Below are 16,827 nucleotides of genomic sequence, written 5' to 3' on the forward strand. Positions count from 1 at the left end.
TCGCTTGAACCTGGGAGAAGGAGGTTGCCGTGAACCGGGATCGTGCCATTGCACTCCAGCCTGGGCAACAAGAGCAAAACTACGTCTCAAAAAAAAAAAAAAATCTTCCTACCTATATCCAGATGATGGCTTTAGCTCAGGTAATTCCTCAAATGACACTATTATTGTTACTGACTCCGTTTCCCATCTCGCCGTGGAAGAGTTGACACAGCCAGGAAGTGGAAATCTCTCATGAGAGGCACTTCCCCACAACGCTCATCTCGACGATTCTCCATGGTGTGCAAATGCTGAGGTGGGGAGAGGGCCTCTAATGAAGGGTCTCTAACAACACAGTGTAACCTGCCTGGTGAAATTAGGGGTACATAGAAACTCACCACCTTCTAGGGGTTGGAGAGGGAAAAGAGGTTGGTGACGGGACCCCACCACCCATTCTGCTACCCTTAGCAATGGACAGAGTCAAAGCTTGGAGTCCTGCTCTGGGCAAATGTGGCTGGAATTCAGGGAGTATAGTTAGTTGTCAGTCCAGTCAGGAGACTTGGCTTGTTTTCCAGTCATTTCCGGGAGAAGAGTTTAAGCGGCTAGCTGGTCAGTTTTTAACTTAGCTGTAACGAAATAAGGCCCAGAGAAGTTTAATCATTAGACCATAGAGTCAGCTGCTTTACGAGTTCGTAAGCCTGCACGAGTCTGAGGCAGGCGGGAGCCTTGGGGTCTAGGTGAGTGAGGCATTAATTATTCACCAAATCAGCACTTGCCCTGCTACAGCCTGGGGAGGTTTTGCCTCTGCTGAGGCTTAGGATCCTCTGCGCCGGCTGGGTAGCCTGAAAGCGCTGAGAAAGTCCTTGCTGTTGGGAGGCTGTAGAATTGCAATGGAGGGTCTTCAGGGCTTAATTAAAAGAAAAATATTAAAAGGCAAATGTCTTTTCTTCCTGTTGAGCTTTTAATACCCTGGGCCAGAGTTTCGTATTTTCATGTGCACACACTGCAAGCATCTTTCAGCTCCTTTTCTTTCTTGAGCCTAACCTCTGCTCTCACAGCAGCTGAGCCCTCCTTGCTACCTGTCCCTGCTCAGCGTCCTCTCCCCTTGCAAAAGGTCATTTACTTTCAGCACTGTTCAGAAGCCTACCTGCTCTCCTGATCACCTCACTTGCAGTAGTAAATTGAACACTACTGAGAAAATTAGGTTTTTAAAAATTTGCCTGTATATGTGCAGGGGGAGGAGTGTGTGTAACACTCACCTTCTGACCACTTCATCTATGAATTTGCCTACCTCCCTTCCCACCTGTATCTTTTGTGCTTCTCTCCTAGAAGTGTGCCCTCCTCTCATCTACTAAGTTCAGTGCTCTCATATACTTGCTCAGCCTCCTCCTGTTTTAAGTAAAAACAACACAAACTCTACATTGTATGGAATCAAAGCTTGAGCTCTGGAGATTTGCTCATGGAATCAAAGATTGAGCTAAGGAGAAAAGAGTTTCAAGAGGGAGATCTTGAAGCATAAGCCACAGAGATCAAATAAGATCACAATGGGAAAATGTCCATTGCATTCAGCAATTAGAAAGCCAAGGGTGGCCAGGCATGGTGGCTCATGCCTGTAAGGGGTGTGAGGCGGGTGGATCACGAGGTCAGGAGCTCGAGACCAGTCTGTCCAATATGGTGAAACCCGTCTCTACTAAAAATACAAAAATTAGGTGTGGTGGCAGGCGCCTGTAATCTCAGCTACTTGGGAGGCTGAGGCAGGAGAATTGCTTGAAACCGGGAGGTGGAGATTGCAGTGAGCCAAGATTGAGCCATTGCACTCCAGCCTGGCCAAAAAGAGCAAGACTTCGTCTCAAAAAAAAAAAAAAAAAAAAAAAAAAAGTCAAGGTCAGTTACCAAGAACCGTGGTGGAGATGGAAGCCACACTGCCATGGAATGGAGGAGGAACTTGGGGAAAGCAGAGCATAAGAGCAAACTATACTTTCAAGAACCTGAGCTATGAAGCCAAAGGAAGGATTGAGCAAATTCTAGGGTTTGCTCAATCAAAGCTTGAGCTTTGTTCCATACTCCTGCTCTAGGCAATGTGGCTGGAATGAAGGATAAAGACTCTATACTCCCTCTCCTTCCTTTGGAGAATCACCAAACGGTGCCCACGGCTAAAACTCTCATGCCCTGCACTCGGGGAAGGCGGGTTAACCCTTTAGAAACAGGGTCCACCTGTTGTGTTTGTTCTTTAGAAAGTGACACGTCCTCTCCGCCCCTCGTATCCAAGAGCTTGGAATGGGCGTGGCATCTACAATGTCTTCCTAGGAAGGAGGGGAAGCTCTGTGCACCCTGCAATTCTTTGCGCACACATTTATTCTTGGTAAGTGCCCTTGACTTTCTAATCTGAATGCAATGGACGTTTTCCCATTGTGATCTTATTTGATCTCTTTGTGGCTTATGCTTCAGATGATCACACCCTCCTTCTTGAGACTCCTTTCTCCTTAGCTTCCAGGACATAATTCCAGAATTTTCCCACAAGACTTTGACCCCTCCTCTCCCATTTATCTTGCCCTTCTCTGATCCCTTAAACATTGGTGCTACCAAAGGTTCTGTCTCTCTTTTCTGCTCCCTTTACTCATCCATATCCAGGGGTGCATCACTTGGACTCTCCTCAACCTCTAATTCCCATATCTCTAGCTTGTACCTCACTTGGAATTTACATACCATTTCCAACAGGCCATTGAATATCTCTACTTTGATGACCCATAGGTAAATGAAATTCATCTGTGGCAAAACTGAAATCTCTCCACCCACCTCTCCTACAACAAAATGTGTTCTGTCTTCTGTTTCCCATTTCAATTATTGGCACCATAATCCACCCCTTAGCTCAAGACGGAGATCTGGGAACAGGACTGGCTGCATGATTAGCAGGGCACAAATGTGGAGCCCCTCTATTATTATTAATGTAAAGACAGTGAAAGAGCATTAAACCTAGCATGGGACTCTCCTGAGTGGGGTAGGGGGTGCTGTGCAATTGCACAAATCACATGCCCATGAAGCCAGCCTAGCCTGGGAATCTTGGGCACCTCTCGTTCCTTCATTCCCTCCCCTCCCCATCACTAGGTCCTGTCATTTCTACTTTCCTAGCAACTAGCCAGCATGTCCCCTTGCTCCAACCTCATTGCCCTCCCTTAGATTTCAGTCTGAATGCCTGCCAGAGCCCCCGACAAGTGTTCCTACTTCCAGACTCTTCCTCTCTTCAGTCTAATCCTTCCTAATACCCGCAGAAGGATTTTTTCAGAGTCAAAACTTTGATCATGTCATTCCCTTATTCAAAAGCCTTCAATGGCTGCCCTCTGCTCCTTCCCTGTGTATGACATACTTTATTCCTTCATGGCTTTCCTTTCACTACGTGGGTCCTCCTTGACCTTGTCAACTTAGTGAACTGCACACCTTTGAAGACTCCTCTTAAACATGACTTTCTCCATGAGCCTCTCTCTCCTCCTCCTTGTAAAAGCCTGTTACAGCATATATAACATAATGCTGTAACTATTTGTTTATGCCCTTATCTCCCCCAATAGACAGTGAGACAAGGACAAGTATTGTGTAACATTCGTTTTTGCATTAATGTTGCCTTGCATAAAATGAGGCACATTACATGTGCTCAATAAGTGTGTCTCGAATGAAAGTAAATGAAGACTAGTCTCCATGTTTTAAAAACTTCCTTAAATCTTAAATGTCCACTTTTTTCTACCTTAATATGAATTTCTAGCCAAAGAGAAAAAGAAATACCACCACTTGACTTAATTTTGGGAATAATTCCAAGTTTCACTCACAAATTCTTCTCGTCTATTATATTTCATACAATTTCCTCTGATTTGTGAAGATGTGACAAGTTGAGGAGGAATGAATCTCTTCTGTTAGTAAGCCTGTCCAGGGCTTTGCTCTGGCTGTCAACACAACCCTCTCTCGTCTATCATTTGTACTAAGCTGGCACTACCTGCTTTAGCATAAAGCAGTCTTTACCAAAGAATTCTGCAGCAGTTTAAATGGCAGATGGGATTGCAAATTGTTGGCTGTTCTGTCTCAAAGAATGTGTGACAGTTATCTCCCTGCAGCATTTATTATTTTCGTTTGAAAACAAAACAAGAACTGTTTTCAAGGTCACCTTCACTTTCACACAGTCTTAGAACACCGTGTGTGTCTCCTTTGAAATCCTGATTGACAGTAGAACAACAAGGATGCTACATTCTAGACTTCAATCTTTGGGTCCTGAAATGTGGCTATTTATATAACATTGTTCTCATGAAAAATACTAGATTTTTCTGTTTTAAAAATTAGATTTAAGTGCATTTTGTGAGATTCAGAATTGATCTAGAAAAGTAAATTCAATGACCAGTAAGATTCAGGTCAAATGTCATGCTATACTTTATATATATATATGTCTTTTATAATACGTACAACAGTAATTTGTAGTTTTGTTTTAGTTTCCTTCTTCCCAGAAGCAGAGACTGTCTTTCATTAGACTTTGGATTCCCGTCAGGTGGCAGTTTCTAGTATATTATAGACACACAATATCTGCTTGTTGGATGAATAAAATTGAGTAACCTTCTTTATAATTGTTAAGGGAACACACAGGGGACGTTATTGCTACCCTCTGTAATAGGAAAACCATCAGGGCCTGAAACCAGGCAGGAAGTCACAACATTTTAAGCCTCGAACCATATAATGCAAACAGTAGTTTGGGCTTGCGTTAACATTCATCCTCCCTTCATCTGGTAACATTGGCTGGATTTTCCTTGAGGGACTAGTCCTCTCCCATTTTCAGCTTACTTGATTTGAATAGGGCTAATTCCCCCATGAACTCCAGGCTATTCAGTGCATTTCCATCTTCCTCTTTCTAGTGAGTGGTTCAGGGATGGATATGAAACTCATATATTCTAGATAAGATGACTCTGGGATTTTTGTTGGAATTCCTGGGAAAAAACAAACAACCAAAAAACAAAAAACACCTCTTTTTCCCTCTGGACTTGGGAGTTATGTGAATGTCAGCCTGGAACTGGTGGAGGCTGCTTGAGACTGGAGCCAACACAAAGGAAAGAAGATCTGAGGGAACCAGAGGGTGGGTCCTTGAAGAACACTTTGGAGTATCTTGATCCAGCTATACCTGAAGCCAGTACACTTTACCTTAGCCAATACATTTTTCTAGACATGTAGCATGAGAGAGACCTAAACTTGTTGTTTTTAGCCTGAAATTTAGGAGGCTTTAAAAAAACTGCAGCATATTGACTGATGCAGGCAGGACTTTATCAACACTGTCTTAAAAATGGTCATTTGTTGGCCAGGCGTGGTGACTCACGCCTATAATCCCAGCACTTTGGGAGGCTGAGGCAGGCAGATCGCCTGGGCTCAGGAGTTCAAGACCACCCTGGGCAACATGGTGAAATCCTGTCTCTACTAAAATACAAAAAATTAGCCGGGCATGGTGGCATGCGCCTGTAGTCACAGCTACTCGGGAGGCTGAGGCACGAGGAGAATCACTTGAGCCCTGGAGGTGGAGATTGCAGTGAGCTGAGATCGCACCACCGCACTTCAGCTTGGGCTACAGAGTGAAACTCCATCTCAATAAAATAAAATAGAGTAAAATAAAATAAAATAAATGGTCATTTGTCTATTCTTAAATATCTCAAAGAGATCACAAATGAGAGCACTCAAATCTACATTCATTTGAAGACAGTCACTAAAATAGGTGCAAGAAAGCCTCATTCAAACTCTTTACAGGCTTTCTGCAAGGCTGCATACCCGTTGCATTTCACCTCCCAAGAAGGTGGCAGGATCCAATGGAAGAAAGGGTGCCGCTTAATTTCTACCCATCTATGCCCATAAATTCCAAATCTTTTTAAAAAAGTTTGAATCTATATTTAACAGGAATGCCTAAATGGGGCAAGTTTTTCTCAGTTCACTCTTGTATATGAATTTTGGCACCTGGTTGCTAACCTGGCACCTTAAAAATGAGTAGGAGGGAGATTGATGTCTGAGTTAGTGCTAGAGGGCCAGAGGAAATCTCTTTTAAAGAAAGTTTTATCAGATCCATAACAGGAGTAACTTAAATGTAGTCAAGTAAACGCCTTAAGACTTGAATACTAGTCATGAACCCAAGCTTTATTTTTCTGGTACATTAACTTTTACATCCGTTCATGAGTGAATCACGACGTTTATTGAAAAACACTGATGTCAAATTGAGTAGACAGCTAACACTCAGTGGGAAATACTTATTCCATATCAGAAAAACTTTTCCTAATTAAAACTCAGTTCATCTCTTACAGGAATCCACCTGAAATTGTATTTTAAAGATTATTTTGAAGTTTTTATTACAGCTGATGGTACTTTCCCCAGCTTTTAAGGATGCTGAAATTCAGCAAAATCTGGAGGAAAAAAAAAAAGACTGTCTTCCAAATATTTCAATTTTTTAGTCTTCCTTTACTCTGCTTTTTATCTAGGCTCTGTCTTTCTCTCTTTGAAAGGTCAAGTTCTGCTTTCAGTGAGTCCCTGAAATCCCCACCACACCTCCCTGTGAGTTCCTAATCCTGTGCTTGGCACATAGTCAGTACTCAGGAAATGCTTTCTAAATGAAAAGTGCTGCTTATTTCACCTTTATTTTAAAGCCAGTAAGGTTCAGGCAATATCTTTGTATGAGAGGATCAGAGTGATAGGTTTGTAGCAATAGAGTAGACTATCTCATAGTTCTGGGTTGTTAATTATTACCTAGGGTGATCCAGGAAACAATTCAATGAGCAAGTTAAACACTCTACTACTATTCATGGCTTGGACAGAAAGCGAATCCTAATTTTCAATCCAGTATTTTTACCCTGGGAAGATGGGTAAGATGGATCTTTGCTATGAGCACATTTCAGAAGTGATAAAAATACTAGTAAAAGCCATCTCCTCTCTCAAATAGAAGTGGTCTTGCTCCTCTCTCCAACCATAATGCCCTTGGCCTTCTACATTAATTAACTCTACAGTTACAGTTCCTCTAAAAGAAAAAGCCTGTTCTTCTGGAAAGAGAGCATTTATTTCATCATAGCTGCTATGCTTGTTGCTACTAAGGCTGCTAATCAGATTTATGAAGGCCAGCCCACCCAGAGCTGAGTGCTGTGTTTTTATCACATCAGAAACAAGTCAGCACTCGGTCTCACTCCAGGATTAGGTTCTATTTCAAATATTGGGCTGTTTGCCAGGCAAAGAGGTTGTAGGATGTGTTTGTTCTCTGCAGCATGGCTAATGAAATGCCAGTGTTAGCCTCCAGTCTAGTAAGGATCTGGGACTAAATGATTTCTCAGTGATCCTATTTGGAAATCATGAACTATGGAGCTGACAATCCAGTCATCTATCCAGAGGACTTTTTAATCCCGTTGGTGATAGACACCATTATTTGGTTGACCTTTGACTTTGGGAGTGCCACCCATCTTCCTAATTAGTACCTTTTAAAAGCCTTATCAGTGACATAACTCTCAGTCTTTTTTTTTTTTTTTTTTTTTTTTTGAGACGAAGTCTCGCTCTTGTCCCCCAGGCTGGAGTGCAATGGCACGATCTTGGCTCACTGCAACCTCCAACTCCCAGGTTCAAGCGATTCTCCTGCCTCAGCCTCCCAAATAGCTGGGATTACAGGTACCTGCCACCACGCCTGGCTAATTTTTGTATTTTTAGTAGAGACAGGGTTTCACCATGTTGGCCAGGCTAGTCTTGAACTCCTGACCTCAGGTGATCAGCCCGCCTCAGCCTCCCAAAGTGCATGGATTACAGGCGTGAGCCACTGCACTCGGCCCACTCTCATTCTTTAGCAAGCAATTCTTGAGACCTATTATGGGCCAAGCACTGCTGTATACTAATCATTGTCTGCATCTTAAATGTATATGCTATTGGTAAAATAAGGGTTGAAAAACATAATTTCTAATGTTCTATTTCCATAAACAAAATATAAACATATATATATATATAAACACATATGAATAAAGTTCTAGAAGGAGATGTAGCAAATAACATAATTTCTAATTTTCTATTTCTATAAACAATATAAACACATATTTATATAAAACCATATGAATAAAGTTCTAGAAGGAAGCATAGCAAATGTTAACATAATTTCTAATTTTCTATTTCTATAAACAAAATATAAACATATTTATATAAACACATATGAATAAAGTTCTAGAAGGAGGCATAGCAAACAACAACATAATTTCTAATTTTCTATTTCTATAAATAAAATATAAACATATTTATATAAACACATGAATAAAGTTCTAGAAGGAGACATAGAAATGATAACAATTTCTAATTTTCTATTTCTATAAACAAAATATAAACACATTTCTATAAACATATGAATAAAGTTCTAGAAGGAGGCATAGCAAATGATAACAGGAGGTACTTTATGGGATACGTGGACTGTATTTGGGATGGGGGTTAAGGGGACTCTTGCCTTACCTGTATTTTTTTAAACAAGGAGAATGTATTTGTCTATAACTGGTAATAATTAAACACAAACGTAAAAATTCTAACAAAAAATCAGTTTTGAAATATAAATGTTTGTTATACCTTGAAGAAAGTAGACTATAAGTTTTGATTAAGTCTGGGTTGTTTCTTCGAAATACAAATGTAAAGGTCTATAGAATTAAAACTCACCGTTTATTCAGTCACTAATGAATTTACTGAATGACAAGGCAAGCTCTTAAATTGGGATCATGGTGACTTACATCACATCTGTGTGCTTCAGCTTCCTTATCTGTGAAACAAGTACAAAGTTCACATGCCTTAGTCAGCATATAGGCTCTTAGTCAGCAATCTGGCCCTTATATAATCTCTCTTTTGTCTCCACATTCTCAGTTTATCAGCCTCCCCTGCCACCCTCAATATACTCACCATTTGCAAAAACCAAACCCAATTTTTTGGCTCCTACAGCTCCTTCTATCTGGAATGCCTTCTCCTTCTCTGCCAAGCCAGTGTTTATGGATGTTCAACACCCCGCTCTGATGGCACTTCACATGTGGAGCCCTTTCAGCCTCACTGCCCAGGCACAATATTTGGACACATGCTTATTGGAGAGGATCTTTCTAGATTATTCTAGAACAGATGTGCCATAAGGCCAGGCACCCCACCTCTCACACTCAGTGCTGTGTCCCCAGCACTAGCACATCTCAGAGCACATTGTAGCTGTGTGAAGAGTATTCATTAAGTAAGTGGTTAGTGTATGAATATAATTTTCTTATGTGCCAAATTGCAAGTGCCTTGAGAGCATCTTAGTTTTCTTAGCCCTAAACACAGAGCTGGCACCTGGCAGGTGCTCAGATATTTGTCAAGCACATTTAGGAATGACGGAATAAATGCCTGGGACTATGCCTCTTGTGCTTTCTGGGGAGAAATCATTTACAGATAATTGTCTAGTCACGGTGAGCCACAGCCAATACGCATTCGTATGTTAAAGAGCATATCACATGTTTCACTTTATTTGGTGGGAAATACAGAAAAGTGGGCGGTTTGCTATGATTTAGATGCATGAATATTAATACATAAAGTATTAATTCCTTATAAATGTGTTCAGTGACTGCTCTCTACTGTAATGCAGAAAGCATCATGCCCACTTTGGCTTTAGAGGCTCAAAGTGGCGATCATATAATGGTAAGTCAAAGTCTGCAAGTCTTAGTCACCTCATCGTAATGAGGCTCATGAGGACATTAGCATAAATTATAATCGGGAAGGTAAAATTGCCCCATTCTGGAGGGCAGTCTGAAATATGTACTAACGTTTAAAACAGACATAACTTTGATTTTGATTGGGAAAACTTGCCAAATTATGCACAGAAAGATGTTTACAATGTTGTTTCCAGCAGAAAAAGTGGAAATAATCCAAATGACCATCAATAGGAGACTAGATAAAATTACTATGCTGGACCCATGCAACAGAGTACCAAACAGTTACTTACAAAGATAGTACCTATTTCTGTGATTTAAAAGGGTATGTGTGGTTGTAGGTGGGGAGCTGTAGGGGGAGTAGATTCCAATGACAAAAAAGTATGTAACTCATGTATATATAATTTTTGAGGAATTAAAAAGGGCCACCCAGAAATTATTTTTATAGCTCAAAATATTAAAAGATAGCTGTTTCTTCTTTTATGATTTTACTCTATAATGAACATGTATAGTCCTTGTTCTAATACAATATTCCAAAATTATAGGCAACCAAGCTCTGTGTAAAATAAATTTTAAGATAGTTTCTTGTGGATGTATTTTCAGTAGTGATCCTTTATGTCGGGCAATGTTCACATCCCCAAGAAAAGAGTGTCTTCTGGCCAGCTAAAACTGGGAAAAATAAATCAAGCTTGCTGATATTCTGTAAAATATGCAGGTACTTTCTAGAAACTAGAGTTCGTTTGAGTTGAGTAGGAAGTGTTATGGTCTGTTTGGGTTTGGATGCAATGTTACAGTAGCCACGATTAATTTTTGTTAGCCACTTCCTGTGCTCATATGTTCCAATCAAAATATGTTTAGCTGTGTTGAGTTGAGAAAGTTGTTTTTTTTTCCTTACAGAGAAATGTTTACACAAATGTTTAAATCTTTCAAATTGTCTACATATTATTCATCTCCCCAAAGTGGGTTAAAAGAAAATTGAGTTTAAGGAGAAAATTTAGTATAGACATTTCTATTTATTTGCTGTATACAATGTATGATTGCCGTATAGGAATGTATGATTGCTGTATAGGAATGTATGATTGCTGTATAGAATGTATGATGGCAGTCTGAAGGATTGAAGACTAGAACTGGTTGTTGTTTTTTTTTTTTTTCTTTTTTGAGACAGGGTCTTGTTCTGTCACTAAGGCTGGAGTGCAGTGGTGTGATCTCAGCTCACTACAACCTTTGCCTCCCTGGCTGAACTGATCCTCTTACCTCAGCCTCCAGAGTAGCTGGGACCACTGGCGTGAGCCACCACACCTGGCTAATTGTTGTATTTTTGTAGAGACAGGTTTTCCCTATGTTGGCCAGGCTGGTCTCGAACTCCTGACCTCAAGCAATCTGCTAGTCTTGGGCTCCCAAAGTGTCAGGATTACAGATGTGAGCCACTGCGCCCGGCCTAGAACTGAGATTTTAAAAAGGAAAAATTCTCATTTAAGACATCCTATCAGTCATATCTAAATAGGTTGGCTTCTTTACACTGATCTGTAAAAAAATGTTAGATTTCTTGTTTCCAAGTAAAAGTAATTGTTCTCTTGATCCTGAATACTTAATCTTTTCCATTCATATTTTGCCTTCCCTAGATGAGTCACAATGCAGTGTGTCTAACACAAAGCTAAACCTGAATGTCATAAAGATCCCAGTGTTTATCTTTAGATATGGAATGTTTATACAGCTTTCCCAAGCTTTGAGCTTCTTCCCATGGTACGAATCTTAGGAATTCTCAAACAGTGGTTTGGTTGTTAAATATTCAGGCTCTATTTAACTTTCATTTCTAATCCTTTCTAGAAAGTTCGCAGTGAGGTGCTACCTTTAATTGGCTCAATAAACTAAGATTCAAGAGAAAATTTTGACTTAAATTGGATATTCACTTTAACAGAGGTAGTAATCTGGATTTCTGTTTGGGTTATGACAAATTCCTAGAAATTAGTTGTATATCATATACAACTAGTGTTTCCAACCAAGTAGTTATTCTAATAGGTTATTTTTTGTTTTCCTATATAATCAAATAAATTGTTTTGAATAAATACATTTGGTAACATCAAGCTTAACACCTAAAATTTAGCCTACTTTGTTATTTCTATATGTAGTCCTATTTTTAAAAACAGCATGGGAAGTTTTGAAGACTTTTTTTTTTTTTTTTTTTTTTACTTAAGACTCTTAAAACAATCCTATTGAATGTGTTTAATAGCTACAACTGTATATTTGCTTAGTTGGCTAATCTCAAGAAACATGCTAGTCCCCCCAGATTATACAGTTTTGTTCAATAACATTTCAAAGATGAAGTATTTCTATTTGGTTCGCTTTGTCTTTTGTTTTCTTTCAAGCAGAATTACTTCCTGTGAAATGTTTCACATGTCTCAAATATTTGACTTACAGCTTAGGTCATTTATGTAAAGAAATCAGTTATTCATTTTAAGAAAATGATTCACTATTTGATGGTCCATTTAATACAGCCTAAGACCAGTTAAAAGAGAAGTTGTCTTGGAAGAGGGTGCAACAAACTGAGTATAGTCGCAGGGCACATTTCCCATCACACCTGCCTTGCCATTTCTTCCAACTAACAGAGTGGCCCTGGCTAGGTTAGCCTTAGTATTCTTCAGAAAATGAGGGGGTAGGACGAGGGAATTTTTCAAATCTCTTGCATTTTGGAATTTTTTTTTTTTTTTTTTTTTTTTTTGAGATGGAGTCTCGCTCTGTTGCTCAGGCTGGAGTGGAGTGCTGCGATCTCAGCTTACTGCAACCTCTGTCTCCCAGGTTCAAATGATTCCTGTGCCTCAGCTTCCCAAGTAGCTGGGACTACAGGCATGTTCCATCACACCTGGCTAATTTTTCTATTTTTAGTAGAGATGGCGTTTCACCATATCGGCCAGGTTGGTCTCAAACTCCTGGCCTCAAGTGATCCGCCTGCTGCGGCCTCCCAAAGTGCTAGGACCACAGGCATGAACCACTGAGCCCAACCTATTTTGGAATTTCTTAAACCTCTTTCCTGAATGACAGGCAACATCAGTGAGAAAAATCATATGTGAGAGCTGATACCTGCATCTAGTGTCTCTAAAAATTAACCTAGCTGTGTTAGTAGTTTTCTGACAGTCATTTTATATCTTTCCTCATCAGAGGTAATATCTTCAGCTAGTAGATTTTAAGGTTTTTTTCACTATGAATGTTTTATTGACTAAATATTTCAAAGTCTTCACTGTAAGGAAATAACAGTACTAAAGATTAGATTTTAGTTCTTGGTGCCATGTTGGGATGACTGGAGAGAGCTTTGAAATATAGCACACTTAATCTGTTGCCACCTAGTGAATGTGAGATAAAGTGCAGCCAACCTCCTGCCTCCTAGTTTTGGTGTTTGCCATCAAAGTGAACTGTGGTTGTGTGTGGAACTATGTCAGATACTGCTATGAATCTTAGACACTTAACTGTTAGTCACAGAGTTTATGAATATGAAGAAAACACTGTATCTCTGCTCAAAAACTCTGTACATTCTGATTAAATATGTGTAATACATGTTGTGGCAAGCTTACTTTGTATCACTGAAAGCTCGTTCAGCTGGCAGGCTGAATCAGAGGCAGGTTGTTAGGGAGGGGGAAGCCTTCTAGAGTGGCCACTTTTAACATGTAATGAGTAAAGATAAAGATTATATGTAGGTTCAAGTTCTTCAGAAGAGAAAAGCTAGGTGCTGATGGATGAGCAGGTGTTAAGAGACATCCTACCTAGGCTGTTTCATGTTGCAAGAAGAAAAAATAAATTGCTTTTTTTCTGGCTCTCTTCCAAGGGGAGAGAAGAAACAGGGTGGAGGGCAGGAAAGGTGAAAGAACAAAACAGGGGACTGTCTTCTCATAAAATTGGAGTCAATTTATGGAACTAATACTTAAAGTGAATAAGTATTTATTTAGAGTGCTCCACACTGTGCTACATTCTCTAAAGGACTTAAACGTGTGCAAATGCATGCTGTGAGTCCTCATAAAACTTGATGTCTGGTTAGAAAAGGCATATCAGCCAAGTGACAATACAGGAACTCCAGAAAAAGGGCTTTGAGTGAGGCTAGAAAAGGAGCCCTAGGGCTATAGGAAAAGGTTAGGTTTGGGAGAGAGATGACAATTTTAAAGTAGGCAGGACCATAGGAGCAATGGTTCAGAAGGAGAATGCAGGTGTAACTTACACAGTGTAATAATAGTGAGGTCTTGAAGGATTCCTGTAATATCTCACTCTTCTCAAAGCTCTTTCATTCGAATTAGCTCTGTAACCCTAGGAGGGAGACCAGGTATATTTATTAGCATTTTACAGCTAAAGGAAATGAGGACATGAAATTCAGGCAGGCTGTGAATCGCCTAAGGTCATGCAGGGGACAAACCATGCTCTTCGCATTTATCACCTGATCCTTGGTCCACTGTGCCCATGCAGCAGGGCATAGAGGACAATTTTAGCAGTTTGGCAAGGAGTTGGGGTACCCGCAAAGAGACTAATGAGGATGCTGGTTCAGCTGCTGTAACAGAGGCCAAAGTCACAGGCACCTAAGGAGATGTGTGCTTTTCTTTATGTGCAAGTTTAAGCTGGTTGTTAGTCCAAAGGAGTCAGACACACACAGTTTTAATCCACAAGGGCATTGTGCCTCCCCACATCTATTTGCCCCCTTCTCTGTGCCTGTGGAGGCTGATCTACATGGGAACATCACCCCAGGCCCTTGGTTTAGCCAATGGGAGCCACCAGTAAGAGACTGGACATGGAGGAGCGTGCCATCAGGGCATCCATGCCCCAATGTCCTCTGCAGGGTTGTCGTGGCTGGTTGTATCCCTTGTCCAAAGATCACAGCTCCTGTTAAGAGGCCCTCCTGGCCAGGCGCGGTGTCTCATGCCTGTAGTCCCAGCACTTTGGGAGGCCGAGGTGGGTGGATCATGAGGTCGGGAGATCAAGACCATCCTGGCTAACAAGGTGAAACCCTGTCTCTACTAAAAATACAAAAAATTAGCTGGGCATGGTGGCACGTGCCTGTATCCTTGAACCTAAGAGGCGGAGGTTGCAGTGAGCTGAGATCGCGCCACTGCACTCCAGCCTGGGCAACAGAGCAAGACTCCGTCTCAAAAACAAAAACAAAAAAGAGGCCCTCCTACACAGTCTGCCTTCAATGTTCAGTTGTCACCCTCTCGCTTTACCCCTCAAACCAAGGGTGGGGATGTCCCCTGCCTGGTGCTGGCTCTGGGATGCTGTATTATCTTTTATGGCTTTCATCCACCCTACCCATATCTTTGTAAATAGCTCCCTTATGGAACTGCCCCAGGTGTGTCCCGTGTTTCCTGGTAGGACCCTTACTTGTACAGTCAACCAGGGACCTGTTTCTTCCACCTTGTTTCACAGTATTATCTTCATGTGCATGGGGATAGCCGGCTCTCCATATTCCCACCCAATTGAAGGTAGGGGGGAAACAAATGGAGGGTGTTTTTGTTTCCTCTTGTTGCTGTAACAAATATCCACACACTTAGTGGCTTTAAATGACATAAATTTATCTCATAGTTCTGTAGGTTAAAAGTCCAATTCAGGGCTAAAATCAATGTGTTGGCATAGTGGTATTCCTTCCAGGAGGCTCTAAGGAAGCATCTCTTTCCTTGCTTTTTCCAGCTTCTAGGGACAACTTACCTTCCTCAGCCATTGGCCCCTTCCTTCATGTTCAAAGCCAGCAACATCAGGTCAATCCTCCCGTGCTGCTGTCCCTCTGACTCTCTCCTGCCTTCTCTTCCACTTGAGAGAACCCTTGTGATTACACGGGGCCCACCTGGAAAATCCAGCATCCTCTCCCCATCTCAAAGCCAGTTGATGAAGACCTTCATTCTGTCAACTTTCCCTTTGCCATGTAACGTAATATATTCACAGGTTCTTGAGATTAGGATGTGGACGTCTTTTGGGGGCCATAATTCTGCCTCTCCCACAAACGACAAACAACTTCCTTTTAGGGTTGTGCCCTGGAAGTTGCACACAACATTGACACTCATCTGTTGGCCAGAATTTAGTCACATGGTCACATCAAACTGCAAGGGAGGTTGAAATACAGTCTCTCTCGCTAGGCAGCTGTGTGCCTGGTTAAAATGTGGAGAAGTCCTATTACCAAAAGGAAGAAGGAGTAGAATGGATGTCAGACAGCAATTTCCAGCCTGAGCCTCATGAGGCTCATGTGTTCTTGCCAGGGTCTGCTTTCAGCTTTCCTTCCCTTCATTGTGCCATGCCAGTGCTTCTGCCTAATTGTTTTCACCTGTTGGGTCTCAGCTGTCCTTCATCTGTGATTGGTTTCTAATCTGGGAGAAGATACAGGATAGTCTCCTTTAATGGGCCACACCAGCTACCTCATGGCAACTTGCTTTCTGATCTTCATATTGATTTTCTGATGTGGCTAGCTGGGTTCCAAATACTTCTACCTGGCCTCTGGGGTTCAAACGTGGGCTCTCTGACTCCTCCCCTCACTTATCCCCTACTCTGGGATGTGCAGATTCCATCCCGACTTCTTCACGCTGGTCCCTCACACACCTTATCAGATCTCCTAGTGTTGGGGAGATGTCATTTTCAGTCAACTCGAATTAAGAAAATGATTAGATTGATGCTGTAATCCCAGCACTTTGGGAGGCTGAGGTGGGCAGATCACAAGGTCAGGAGTTCAAAACCAGCCTGGCCAACATGGTGAAACCCTGTCTCTACTAAAAATACAAAATTAGACAGGCATGGTGGCACATGCCTGTAATCCCAGCTACTCGGGAGGGTAAGCCAGGAGAATCGTTTGAACCTGGGAAGCAGAGGTTGCAGTGAGCCGAGATCGTGCCACTGCACTCCAGCCTAGGTGACAGAGCAAGACTCCATCTCAAAAAAAAAAAAAAAAAAAAGAAAAGAAAAAGTATGCATGTTGTTGTTGCATATAAATATTATCAATTGACTACATATAGGTTCTTTACATCCTTTAATTCTTTTTATTTATTTATTTTGGCTACTCACATTAAATCCTCTTAGATGGGAGGCAGAGCTGTGCCTTCTACAATGAAAGCTGATGGAACCTCCTATAGGCAGAATACATGGATCTGAAACCAAAAGTGGAAATGCATGATACTGATCACAATTATATCCGAATGACTCACAAGCAAAAGGTTCCTTTTTGTAC

At 41.2% G+C, this 16,827-nt stretch overlaps 1 protein-coding gene across 4 annotated transcripts in view; it reads right to left on the minus strand.

Moving 5' to 3' along the window:
- The window catches only part of LAMB4 (laminin subunit beta 4), a 118,700-nt gene continuing 109,599 nt past the window's right edge, over positions 7,727 to 16,827 (minus strand). Inside the window, exons 34-36 of one of the 4 annotated variants that reach the window (XM_011515975.2) lie at positions 16,665 to 16,747; positions 13,852 to 13,937; positions 7,727 to 8,743 (exon numbers count right to left, since the gene is read on the minus strand). In XM_011515975.2, the coding sequence (XP_011514277.1) occupies positions 8,740 to 8,743; positions 13,852 to 13,937; positions 16,665 to 16,747 (173 nt within the window). In that variant the 3' untranslated portion in view covers positions 7,727 to 8,739. Of the gene's footprint in view, positions 8,744 to 11,053; positions 11,092 to 13,851; positions 13,938 to 15,916; positions 15,977 to 16,664; positions 16,748 to 16,827 lie in introns of those variants that run through there. The other 3 variants (XR_927421.2, XR_927422.2, XM_017011879.2) reach the window with 3 other exon arrangements.

Source organism: Homo sapiens, chromosome 7 (assembly GCF_000001405.40).
Source record: "Homo sapiens chromosome 7, GRCh38.p14 Primary Assembly".
Lineage (NCBI taxonomy): Eukaryota > Metazoa > Chordata > Mammalia > Primates > Hominidae > Homo > Homo sapiens.